This window comes from Homo sapiens, chromosome 16, assembly GCF_000001405.40.
Source record: "Homo sapiens chromosome 16, GRCh38.p14 Primary Assembly".
NCBI lineage: Eukaryota > Metazoa > Chordata > Mammalia > Primates > Hominidae > Homo > Homo sapiens.
In genome coordinates, this window is record NC_000016.10 from 87467884 (window position 1) to 87480863 (window position 12980).

Sequence of the window (12980 nt, forward strand, 5' to 3'; positions counted from 1 at the left end):
GTCGTGGTCCGCCCGCCTCAGCCTCCCAAAGTGCTGGGATTACAGGCGTGAGCCACTGCACTTGGCCCCCAAAGTGCTGGGATTACAGACATGAGCCACTGCGCCTGGCTCCCAAAGTACTGGGATTACAAGCGTGAGCCACCGCGCCTGGCCCAACGGTTTTTTCTAATGGCTATTTCAAGGTAAGATTCTGTCTCTTAAGAATGGTACATTTAAGATAGATTATTAGATGTAAATCTTCATTTATTTGTATGTGTTCTCTAAAGATTCATGTGTTTTTTTATATGAAGAAGTTTAAGTGGCCTTTTGAAAGTAGGAAGGGTAGACGTACAGATGGTGACATCTGTACGTAACCATTTCAGGTTTCTTCCTTAAATAGTGGTATTCAGTATCCCACTGGCCAATGGTAAGGATTTTATTTAACATTTTAAAAATAATATTGCTCATTAAGAGATATCTTAAGGAAAAATTACATAAATTCAGGAGAGTATGTGTCATCACATTGTGTTGTGCATGTTCATTCAGCTGTTTTAGAATATGTTCTTATATTACAATAAATGATACCCTTAATTACATAGTCAAAAAAAAAAAAAGTGGTCCTCCACTTCAGCCTCCAGAGAAGCTGGGACTACAGGAGGCGCATGCCACCATGCCAGGCTTAACCTACAAACAGTTCCTTATCATCTACTGCCTCAGGTTCAAACCCCTTCCCCCGTTTTTTAGCACACTGTTAGATGTTTTTCCTAACTTAACTTATAAAGTCTTATTATTCCCTAACCTAGTGGTTCTCAACTGGGGGAAATTTTGTCCCCAGGGGACATCTGGCCACAGCTGAAAACATTTTCTGTGAACTGGGGTGGGGATTCTCGTGGCATGCAGCCAACGGAGACCAGCGATGCTGTTAAACATCCTGCAGAGCCCAGGACAGCTCCAGAGCAAGGAAGTACCTGCCCGCAGGCCTCAGGAGTGCCAAGGCTGAGAGGCCCTCCCTGATACAGTTTATTTTCCCTAATATTGAGTACTGCGTCTGCATGTGGAATACCTGGGAGCTGGCAAACGACGCAGGCTGAGAAAGCCAGGTCTAGACATCTTTAAAAAGAATACGGTCAGTTTAAAAAGCCAGGTGCCAATGGAATGCCTACGATGTCAAGACACATTGTGAGAGACCATGGAGAATAAAAGAACAAAAAGTACTAGCATTTTTGTCTGTTTTTTTGGAGACATGGTCTATGTTGCCCAGGCTGGTCTCAAATTGCCAGGCTCAAGTCATCCTCCTGCCTCAGCCTCCCGAGTAGCTGGGACCACAGGCATGAGACAATGCACCCGGCTATAACCACCTTTTGTACAGTTCTTCCCAAGTATCCATTATGCAGCCATATGAGATCATCCATCTGATCCCTGCAGTACGTGACGTACACAGATCAAATTATCTCCATGTTAAAAACAAGAAAAACTGAATGTCAGTTCCTAAATGCCTTCCCCAAGGTCATCTGGCCAGTAGGGAGCAGAATCAAGTGCAGACTTTAGGTCCTGTAACTACAGAGGTCTGTGATTTGTGCACATTAAATCCAAGGAGGCGAGCGGAGCACAGCGGTCAGGAGCCGTCTCGGCGGCCAGTGCTGGGTCCACACAGGGCAGCCCCTGTTTCGTCCACTATGGGATGGAAATAATGGCACCTACCTAAGGCTTTTGTGAGAATTCAGTAAAATGCATTTCTAGTACTGTGAACTGGAAAAATGTTAGCATTCAAAATGTTAGTTGCTGTTATTATTGTGGTGCTTGCGGTGTGGCTGGAGGACAATTAAATTGCTTCAGTGCTGTCACAGAGACTCGGAGCTCTGGGAGGATCCAGGAGGGGCACCGGCAACTGGGCCTCCCGGAAGGCAGGGCTCCCTGTGTCTACAGCATCTGCTGCACCCCTGTGGGCAGCACACCCCCAGAAGCACTGGGGATGAGGACAGAGCCACCCACAGCCACCCCAGCTCCGTGTTCCCTGCACTGGGGGCCAGGGCCTATCTTCTCAAGTAGAGACTTTACCACGACATGTGATCGTCTGTTCTAAAACCAGTGCACTTGCCAGGCACAGTGGCTCACGCCTGCAATCCCAGCACTTTGGGGGGCTGAGGCAGGAGGATCGCTTGAGCCCAGTAGTTCAAAACCAGCCTGGGGCCAGGAGCAGTGGTTCACACCTGTAATCCCAGCACTTTGGGAGGCTTAGACAGGTGGAACTCCTGAGGTCAGGAGTTCAAGACCAGCCTGGGCAACATAGTGAGACTACATCTCTACCACAATTTAGAAATTACCCGAGTGTGGTGGTGTGTGCCTGTACCTAGCTGCTCAGGAGGCTGAGGTGGGGGGATCGCTTGAACCTGGGAAGTTGAGGCTGCAATGAGCTATGATTGCATCACCGCACTCCAACCTGGGAGACAGCACGACACCCCAACTCAAATAAATAAATAAATAAATAAATAATGAAAACAAGCACATGACAGCTTGAATAATTATTTAATTACTTGGACTACAGTTAAAATGTTCTCAGGAGTCAAATGCTCATAAAGCTGCAGGGGGTGGCCTCGTCCTCAGCTGAGTGTAACCTGGGGCCACTGTCTGGACAGCAAGGAGGCAGGATGTGATGAGCTTTTTTCCCATCTGTAGCTTTTCACCCACTAATCCCACTGGGAGGAGTCTGCTGTTAGGATACAGTCAATCAGCGATGTAGTCAAAGGTTTGTGTGTAAGGAGATTTATCTCAGCTTGAGCAAAAAGAAAAACAAACAACATAAACATCCCAGCAACAGATTACTATTGAAATAGGTCGCTAAATGTGTATGTCCAGATGACTGAATATTATGCAGTCTTAAAAGGCATGCAGGATGCTCACAGATAATGTGAAAATGGGCAGAACGTACATCAGTTGTGTGCAAACAGGCACTGAGAAAAGACAAAGGTACACCGAAATATTACTAGCATTTATCTCTGGGTAATTTTTATTTTATTTTTCTGTTTTCCAATTTTTCTGTGAGGAACAATCACTACTTCTAGAATTTAAAAAAGTTACAGATATTAAGTCTAAATATAAATACCTCCCTACAAGATGTGAATGATATGAAAAGTATAGAAAAAGCAAGCTTCTAAAACCATAACCACACTTTCCTTCCACACATATCTCGAGGGCCGGGCACATCAGGGGTTAACATGAACTTCAAAGTGTCTACCCCCACAAACAAAATACAGTAAACATGACTATGAAAAAATAGTGTTTTCAATTTGTTTTCCAATTAACCTACCTCTATACAGGAAGGAGTAACGTCTGTTAAATACTTTTAAGTTAACGTAAAAAACATAAAACATAAAAACAAAATAGATTTGTAAGCATTTTGCTAAAATAGTCATTACGTGTCTCTAAAAACCAGAACAAGAAGACAGACAGTTTAAGAGTGAAAGCTATTTGCTGACTTAGACCAAGTGAAAGCCAACGCTAACCAAAAAAACATTTTCCATGTAAAAACATTCCTTTTAATATTTCTTAACCTAGAGCTCTACTCATCAAAAAGAGAAAGAGAGAAAAAAGATTACTGCTTAAAATCTCAGCAAAGGGAACCCAGTACTTAACTAGACCAGCTCCCAGAGTGACCAGATGCAAATCTCTTTCACAAATAGCCACAGGGCAGCACGGCCTCCTCTAGGAACACCGGCCCCAACTGCCCACCCGCGGGGGCTTCCAGGCCTCCAGGTGCCAAGACATCCCACCAGGGGCCAACCACATGGGACCTCTGGGGTAGGGCTTCCCTACAGTCAGCCTCCAACACACCCAGAATCCCTGTTCCAGACACTGCCTGTAGAAACAGAGGGAGTCTAAAGTCGAGAGCCCTAGGGAGGCTAAAGACATACTTCCTAGTCCTGTAATCCCATAAAACAGGGTTCAAAGGGCATCTTAACGGATGTATTGACTTCAGAGAGAACACCAGCATCTTGCTTGTACTCATGAGCAACAACTCATTTCTGCCTTCCTAGCCCCTCCTTGCCCTCCTGTCCAGCAGCGACCTACTCACCACTAGGGTCGGAGGCCGGCAATGGCGCTGACCTTCACTGCTGACCGGGCTCTGACCACTGCTGTCTTCCAGTGCTTCTGAGCAACTACTACCCTCCACTAAAAAAAACAACTTTATGCAACAGGAGAGAAAATGCTTGCACAGACAAGTGCAAGTGTCAATAAAACTGGGCTGGGGGTAGGGGTGGAACTGAAGTAGGAGGAGTAAACATAATAGTGAAAGTGTCAACCTCCTGTAGTGATGCCAAATGCCGGCCCTACAGTCAGACCCTCGGGAGGGCCGCCCCCATCACTAGTCGTGCGACACAAGTGATGTGGCATTTCCAAGCCTGTGTCCCCATCTGTAAAGTGGGGACAGCCACCATATTGACTTCCGAGGGTTGGTGCAAGGATTGAAGTAGCCAGTCCACCAAGCATGGCTCTCAGGATGGAGCCTGGCAAACAGCAAGCGCCCATTCCACAGCCACAGGGATCCAGGCTGGCACCGTGCACCGAGGCACGCATGCAAAGCCTCTCCCTCAGAGCTTCTCTCTCAACACGGCCCCACAGAGCAGACCACCAGCAGCACCGCTGTGGCGCGGGCCGGGTCGGGGAGAAACCAATCAGAGGCTGCTCGAAAAAGGTACAAAGTCAGCACTTAGGAGCAACAGGTGACAGCGAGGGAACACACAGAAGCAACACTGACAGGACATGGCCACGTGGGAACCAACAACCCAATCTCAACAATCTCTGAAGACGACACCATCAGAAAGTAAAGCAATACGGCCACCATGATGGTTCCTTCCCCCTCAAGAAAAATGCACTTTTTATTTTTTATCTTTGAGATAGGGGCTCGCTCTGTTGCCCAGGCTGGAGTGCAGTGGCACAACCACAGCTCAGTGCCATCTCCCACCTCAGCCTCCTGAGCAGCTGCGACTACAGGCGTGTACCACAGCGCCCGGCTAATTGTTTTTATTTTTTGTACAGATGGGGGTCTCCCTATGTTGCCCAGGCTGGTCTTGCACTACTGGCCTTAAGAGATCCTCCCAACTCAGCCTCCCAAAAGTGGTGAGTGGGATTACAGGCATGAACCACTGCACCCAGTGTAAGAAAAAATTTAAATGATGTGACACTCGTAATGTTAGAAACAGTGAGCTGCAACAGCTTCAGGGGCAGAGGCTGCAGCCAGCACCCTCTCCATTGCAGGCATAGATGCAATCTAACTCCACTGATGCCACATCCAAGAGGATGGCAGATGAGACATTCCCTGAGGTTATCTTTATCTACAGGACTTTTTTTTTTTTTTGGAGATGGAGTTTCGCTCTTTTTCCCCAGGCTGGAGTGCAACGGTACGATCTCAGCTCACTGCAACCTCCGCCTCCTGGGTTCAAGCGATTCTCCTGTCTCAGCCTCCTGAGTAGCTGGGATAACAGGCAGGCGCCACCACACCCAGCTAATTTTTGTATTATTACCAGAGACAGGGTTCCACCATGTTGGCCAGGCTGGTCTCAAACTCCTGACCTTAGGTGATCCACCTGCCTTGGCCTCCCAAAGTGCTGGGATTACAGGCGTGAGCCACCGTGCCCGGCCCATCTTCAGGACTTTTGACGTTAAGTACATAATACACACAATATTGTTATTGTGAATATTTGGCCAGGAATATGCTTAAATACTGGGGTTTTCTTAGAGAAGCTGGCTAAATGTCTAATCACAATAACTAAACTGCGTTATCATGACCATTTTGGTTCCCACTATAATATTCAGCTCCCTGAGATGGACCATTCAAAGCAGTGAGCACGTTCAAGTGGCTGCTTTACAGTGCTTTGGGGATACCAGCCACAGTATAGGTTCGGTTTCAGAACACTTAGGCATCTAGGATGGGAAAGAACAGGACTTGAAGAGGCCAGGAGCGAGAAACCCCTGGTTCAAAACAAGAGTGCATCCAAGGTCCAGAAAGTGTCAGTAAAATCGGCTAGCAGGCTTTGTTTCTGCAGGCACCACAAACTCTATTCCAGGAGTCTTCTTGGGACACCCTATTATGAACAAGGCATCGCTGCTTCAGAGCCAGGGTCCCCATCTCTTACTGTCAGCCATGCAACAAAAGATCAGACCAGAAAGGGCTCACCTGGATTGATCACAGAAGACATTTAGGCCAAAAAGTTTCAGATTTACCTCCCACTGCAGCTATGACCAGACCCTCATCCCCTAGGCACCTGGTATCTGCCCAACTGAACTTCACACCTACAGGTGAAGCCTAGCCCAGGCCTGCTTCTCTGGCAAGTTCACCACACGCCTGACTCTCCTTCCCGTGGCTGACCGCCACCAGGGGCTAGAGCATGTAGACAACCATTCCACTGACATCCTCCAAATGGACCCATGAACTTCAAGGCACTGGGCCATGCTAGCCTTCTCTCCGCACAGCACCTCATCCTTTTAACAGCACATGTTCCAGTTAGTATAAAACCCCCCTTCACAGCCTCCCTTCCTCAGGGAGAGTGAATTCTTCCTAGAACACATGGTTCGTATTTATTTCTGCAACCCCTGGAGTATATAAAACAGGTGGTTCTACCTTCAGTAATGGCTGAGACGTTGGACCAATCCTCTTGCAGATAACTATAAACTCTGGACAAAGCATAAAAAAACAAACTGAACAGGACCAAGACAAGCAGAAACTGGAGGGAGCCTGTGCCCAGAGCGAGCTGAGCACTGCACGGGTTTCTTGTCCTGGGGCAGAACCTGGTCCTCCTCAGAGAAGGGGGGCAGCTAAAGCTCACAGAGAGCCCCACAGTCTCACCTGAAAAACCAGAGAGGGGAATTCTGGTAGATGATCGCAGCTGGAAAGCGACAGGAGAAACCCTGGAAGGGAGAGCACCCTGGGAGGGGACAGCACGCTCTGCACATCAACTCTGTGTGAGCCCTGCAACAGGCAGGCACGGGGCAGGTCCAGGACAGCAAGGTCACACTACAGCAACTGAGCAGAGATATTAGCTGCTGATAACACAGGAAGAGTATCTGGAGTTTGAGTCCAGCCAAACTGACTGCCTGCTAAAACAAAGCATCATCAATCTTCAGGAGGATAGAACGAAGTCCAGAGTTTCTACAACAGATCACTCACAAAATCCAAGAAGCAATCCACAATTACTAGACATGGAAAGAAACAAAAATATAACCTGTACAAAGAGGAAAGAGTTAGCTCTGGAGACCAGGCACAGGACACACCCATGCTGCCAGCACAGGCAGGACTCAGTAGCCCTTACAACGGGGCTCAGGAACAGAAAGGCAAAGGGACTTAGGCTGGACAAGCCAAACGGGTCTCAAGAGAGAAAGAGAACATTTCTTAAAAAATGGAAATTCCAGGGCCAGGTGCAGTGGCTCACGCCTGTAATCTCAGCACTTAGGGAGGCCAAGGCAGGCGGATCACCTGAGGTCAGAAGTTCGAGACTAGCCTGGCCAACATGGCAAAACCCTGTCTCTACAAAAAAATAAAAAAATTACCTGAGTGTGGTGGTGGGCGCCTGTAATCCCAGCTACTTGGGAGGTTGAAACAGGAGAATCGCTTGAACCCAGGAGTCGGAGGTTGCAGTGAGCCGAGAGTGTGCCACTGTACTCCAGCCTGGGTGGCAGAGCAAGACTCTGTCTTAAAAAAAAAAAAAAAAAAAAAAAGGAAATTCCAGAACTAAAAAATGCTATTTCTAAACGAAGAAAAATCCTGTGGACGAGCTTTAACAGCAGACTGGAGGTAACAGAAGACTCAGTGAATCTGAAGATGGATCAATAAAAAGTATCCAACCCAAAGAACAGAGAGAGAAAAAGATCTGAAAGGAAAACAATCAAACAAAGCTTCAGGGACAATATCACACAGTTTAACATACCTAGAGCTGGAGTCCCATAAGGAGAGAGAGATTGAGGCAGAAAAACATTTTGGAGAAATTATGGCTGAAAATTTCCCACAGCTGGCAGAAGGCATAAATTTACAGATCTAGTAAGTTCAGGACACCAAATAAGATAAATTCAATAAACACTTGGACACATCACAGTCAGGCTGCTCAAATACCAAAGACAGTCCATCTTAAAGCCAGCTGGAGAAAAACAACTTGTGAGCACAGGGGAGCAGCCAACAGCAGAGCCCTGGAGGAGAGACAGGGTCTCGACTTCTCTCAAAGTCCCAGTAGAAGAAAGCTGCCAACAAAGGACCTCACGTCCAGTGCAAACATACTTCAATAGCACGGGTGAAAGCAAAACATGTTCTGATAAAAGAAAACTAAGAGCCTTTCTTGCCAGCACACCTACACTCCCGAAAATACTAAAGTGAGTTTGCCAGACTGAAAGGATATGGTAACAAACTGGATCGGTAAGGAATGAAAAGCACCAAAATGGTAAATAGACCTGGTTCCACTTAGGGGTTGGGGGAAAAAAGGTAAATATGTGAGTATATATAAAAGACAATATTTTCCTCGTAATTTTTTTAAAGGTACATTCATACTGAAGCAAACAACAATACTATATATGTTGTGATGTCTACAGCACAGATGTAACATGTACACTTGCCACAGCAAGGACCGGGAAGGCACCTGGTTGCAAGACAGTGACCAGCTTCTTACACTGCACAAGGCGGGGTACGGTATTAACTCCAAGCAGACTGTGTAAAGTTCAGTATCTACAGTGTCATCTCTAGACCAGCCACTAAAATCATGCAACAAAGGAAGCCAACAGATAAAATGGAATTCCATGAATCTGCTTAAATGAAGTTTTAGAAATGGCAAAACTAATCAATGGTGGAAAAGAAACAGAACAGAGGGAGAAAGAGTTTTTAAGGCCTGGGGGTGGGGGGTGGGAGAAGGTGGAAAATGGCGGGAGGGAATTCTCTGGGCTGACGGTCATACCGCACAAACCCGCATCAAGGCTTACTGCTTCTGTCAAAACTGAAGTGGTGGCCGGGCGCGGTGGCTCGTGCCTGTAATCCCAGCACTTTGGAAGGCTGAGGAGGGCAGATCACAAGGTAAGGAGTTTGAGACCAGCCTGACCAACATGGTGAAACCTTGTCTCTAATAAAAATACAAAAATTAGCCGGGCATGGTGGTGCGTGCCTGTAATCCCAGCTACTCAGGAGGCTGAGGCGGGAGAATTGCTTGAACCCAGGAGGCAGAGGTTGCAGTGAGCCAAGATCGCTACATTGTACTCTAGCCTGACAGAGAGAGACTCAGTCTCAAAAAAAAAAAAAAAAAAAAACAAAACAAAACCAAAAAAAAATTGAAGTGGTGAAAACACCAGATGACACACTTAAAATATGTGCATTTCACTAAATGTAGGTTTTACCTTTAAATGAAAAGAAAAAAAGGAACCCCAACAAAATATCAGACTGCGGTACTGAGGACTATCAGTTACACACTCTGTGCTGAATGAATAAAAACGAGCCGCTGGGGCGAAGGCAGGGAGAGGAGCTTTGTCACCAAGACCATGGATCCCGCCCAGGGCCGGCCGCGCACATGGGGCAGCCCCGGGCATCAGCAGAGCTGGCAGAAGCCGGGGATGAGGTCACACTCCCTACTTCTACCAGCCGCAGAGTCTGGGGCTCTCTCCCTCATCTCATTTCATATTCCTCAGGTTCTTCCTCTCACTTTAAATGATGAAGTCAACACACAAACAATTTTAACTTCACATAATAAAAATAGCCACTCACTAATGTCGTCTTTGTCAAATTATTTATACTTAACCCCTCTGTGTCTGTTTTCTTATTGCTAAAATGGGGACAAAAATAGAACTTGACTCATGGAGCTGTTATGAGGATTAAATGAAATACATGCGACACCCTCAGAGCAGCCTCCTGCACCTGGGGAACACCGCCACGCCCCCACCGCATCCCCCTGAGCCTGCTGCCCCTCACCGCACACACCTGGGGAACACTCACACGCCTCCACGCATCGCTCCCGAGTCTGCTGCCCCTCACCGCACACACCTGGGGAACACCGACACGCCCCCACCGCATCCCCCTGAACCTGCTGCCCCTCACCGCACACACCTGGGGAACACACACGCCTCCACACATCGCTCCCGAGTCCGCTGCCCATCATTGCATGCACCTAGAACCACTGATACGCCCCCACGCATCGCTCCTCCCTGTAGCCTGCTGCTCCTCACCTCATATCTTTATTAGCAATTGTAAAAGGAAAAATAACATTGATAAATTAACTTCCTCAATACACTATTAATGGTATGCTGGTTTAAAAGCCTTCCACCTATTTAAAAAACAACCCACACATATAAGTGCTTTGAGAAATGACACACTGCACGACGTGTGGCACAATGCAGTGTCGAAAGTTCAGAATCTACAGTGTCATCCCTAGACCAGCCACTAAAATCACGCAACGAAGGAAGCCAACAGATAATAAGCCAGCAAGAATTCCATGATTCTGCTTAAATGAAGTTTTAGAATAGGCGAAACTGATCAGTGGTGGAAAACAATAGAAAAAAGGCCTGGGAGTCGGGGTGCAGAGAAGGTTGGAACCGACTGGAAAATGGCCTGAGTTCTCACGTATGAAAGATACTCTACCAGGAACCTGGAGTCAGGAGAATCTCCCAGAGGTGGTGTGCAAGTTCTGTGAGTATCTATTTGTGTCCGGGTAGAGTTTACACACCACACAGTGCTTCCCACACAACCTCAATACTCTGTGCTTTCAAAGTATCTCATTAATTTTACTAATTTTTTTTTTTTTTGAGACGGAGTCTCACTGTTGCCCAGGCTGGAGTGCAGTGGCGCCATCTTGGCTCACTGCAACCTCTGCCTCCCAGGTTCAAACAATTCTCCTGCCTCAGCCTCCCGAGTAGCTGGGATAACAGGCGCCCGCCACCACGCCCGGCTAATTTTTGTATTTTTAGTAGAGATGGGGTTTTACCATATTGGTCAGGCTGGACTCAAATTCCTGACCTTGTGATCCGCCCGCCTCGGCCTCCCAAAGTGCTAGGATTACAGGCGTGAGCCACCGCACCCGGCCAATTTTACTAATTTTACTATAACTAGGTTGTTAGCATTATGCTCAAGCTTCTAAATTTTATTAAAATGCCCAAAACAGAGTAGGGGTGAGGGTTGTTCCTCTTCCCCATACACTAAATCTCTTCCTATTTCAAACAGTTTAATCTTTTTTCAAGTCTAGACTATAATCCTTCTAGCACTAGTTCCTATATATACATGTTTTAATTAGAGTCATTAAGAAACCTAAGGATAGGCTGGGCGTGGTGGCTCACACCTGGAATCCCAGCACCGTGGGAGGCTGAGGCGGGCAGATCACCTGAGGTCAGGAGTTCAAGACAACCTGACCAACATAGTGAAACCCTGTCTCTACTAAAAATACAAAAATTAGCCGGGTGTGGTGGCGGGTGCCTGTAATCCCAGTTACTCAGGAGGCTGAGGCAGGAGAGTCGCTTGAACCCGGGAGACAGAGGTTTGCAGTGAGCTGAGATCGCACCATTGCACTCCAGCCTGGGTGACAACGCAAGACTACGTCTCAAAAAAAAAAAAAAAGAAACCTAAGGATATAATTTCTTTCTGGTAATTCTATTGATGCTTTTATGCAAATGTCCCAAATAATTAGACAAATGATGCCATAATGCTCCCTTCTAAAGAGTTAATCTGATGTCACTGTTGAAAGTATAAAAGAAATACAAATGAAACCTTAATTAGAATGAGTAACGGTTTTTCAATTTATTGACATTATGTAGCAAACTAAAACATCGAGGCTTACCATGATTTAAAGTTTTAAAAGCATTAAAGAAATATAATCCAGACAAACTTACTTGCAGAACTAAAAATGTTACTCCATGGAAATGAACTCATCCACATACATGCCTCCACAGGCTCCACAGGAGACAAGGCCACCAAAGCATCATGATGCCACGCGGCTTCTTCCGAGCTCTCAGCTGACGCATTCACAACCTTGTATGAGTGCAACCCAGGTAACCTAAAGCCCAACTCTCGTGTTAGAGAGTTCTTCCCAATGAAAGCTTTTGTATGCCAGTTTTTTCTTCTTCTTTTTCTTTTTTTTTTTAAATAGAGATGGGGTTTCGCCATGTTGCCAGGCTGGTCTTGAACTCCTGGCCTCAAGTGATCCACCTGCCTTGGTCTCCCAAAGTGCTGGGGTTACAGGTGTGAGCCAGTGCACCTGGCCTTGCATGCCAGCTTTTGAAAAATATAAAGTTAAAAATAAGAAAGTAGGGCCAGGCGCAGTGGCTCACACCTGTAATCCCAGCGCTTTGGGAGGCTGAGGCAGGCGGATCACAAGGTCAGGAGATGGAGACCATCCTGGCTAACACGGTGAAACTCCGTCTCTACTAAAAATACAAAAAATTAGCCTGGCATGGTGGTGGGTGCTTGTAGTTCCAGCTACTCAGGAGGCTGAGGCAGGAGAATGGCGTGAACCCGGGAGGCGGAGCTTGCAGTGAGCCGAGATTGCGCCACTGCACTCCAGCCTGGGCGACAGAGCGAGACACTGTCTCAAAAAAAATAAATAAATAAAAATGAGAAAGTAGAATACAGATGTTAAAATTCAAGTTAAACTTCACTAGAATCTCCAGCTACATAATATATGAGAGGTAGTCATTGGATAAAGGCAAAAATTAAAAAGATAAAAAGTATGAGTTGGTTACAGGAGTGACTACTGTGGCCACTGAAAAGAAAAAGCCAAAGGGAAAAAGCACTTGTACTACGGCGGCTTTTCATCCACCCAACACCTCCTGCCCCTGGGTTTAACGGATGCTCCGCAGGTGAGCCCCTAGTAGGTGGTAGGAACTGCTAGGCTCTAGTGATTTAAAAAGTCAGTCTCTGCCAAAGTCAAAGTCTTGGGCAGAAACAGAACACAGCACATAAGGTCTAGGATAAGGATGCAACAACAAAATGACTGGTATCTATGAACCAATAATGCGTATAGGGGTATCACAGGTAACCGGTGTCCAGTCTA

At 46.6% G+C, this 12980-nt stretch overlaps 1 protein-coding gene across 3 annotated transcripts in view, besides 3 other annotated features; it reads right to left on the reverse strand.

Moving 5' to 3' along the window:
• The window catches only part of ZCCHC14 (zinc finger CCHC-type containing 14), an 86777-nt gene that overhangs the window by 61636 nt on the left and 12161 nt on the right, over positions 1–12980 (reverse strand). The gene's annotated exons all lie outside the window — the stretch shown is intronic.
• Positions 1363–1948: an enhancer, noted in NCBI's record as "H3K27ac-H3K4me1 hESC enhancer chr16:87502852-87503437 (GRCh37/hg19 assembly coordinates)". NCBI's record gives its function as "activates a minimal SCP1, AML or CMV promoter by ChIP-STARR-seq in primed H9 embryonic stem cells {active_cell/tissue: H9 hESC(primed)}" and the evidence as "EXISTENCE:reporter gene assay evidence [ECO:0000049][PMID:30033119]".
• Positions 1949–2533: an enhancer, noted in NCBI's record as "H3K27ac-H3K4me1 hESC enhancer chr16:87503438-87504022 (GRCh37/hg19 assembly coordinates)". NCBI's record gives its function as "activates a minimal SCP1, AML or CMV promoter by ChIP-STARR-seq in naive H9 embryonic stem cells {active_cell/tissue: H9 hESC(naive)}" and the evidence as "EXISTENCE:reporter gene assay evidence [ECO:0000049][PMID:30033119]".
• Positions 3219–4176: an enhancer, noted in NCBI's record as "H3K4me1 hESC enhancer chr16:87504708-87505665 (GRCh37/hg19 assembly coordinates)". NCBI's record gives its function as "activates a minimal SCP1, AML or CMV promoter by ChIP-STARR-seq in primed H9 embryonic stem cells {active_cell/tissue: H9 hESC(primed)}" and the evidence as "EXISTENCE:reporter gene assay evidence [ECO:0000049][PMID:30033119]".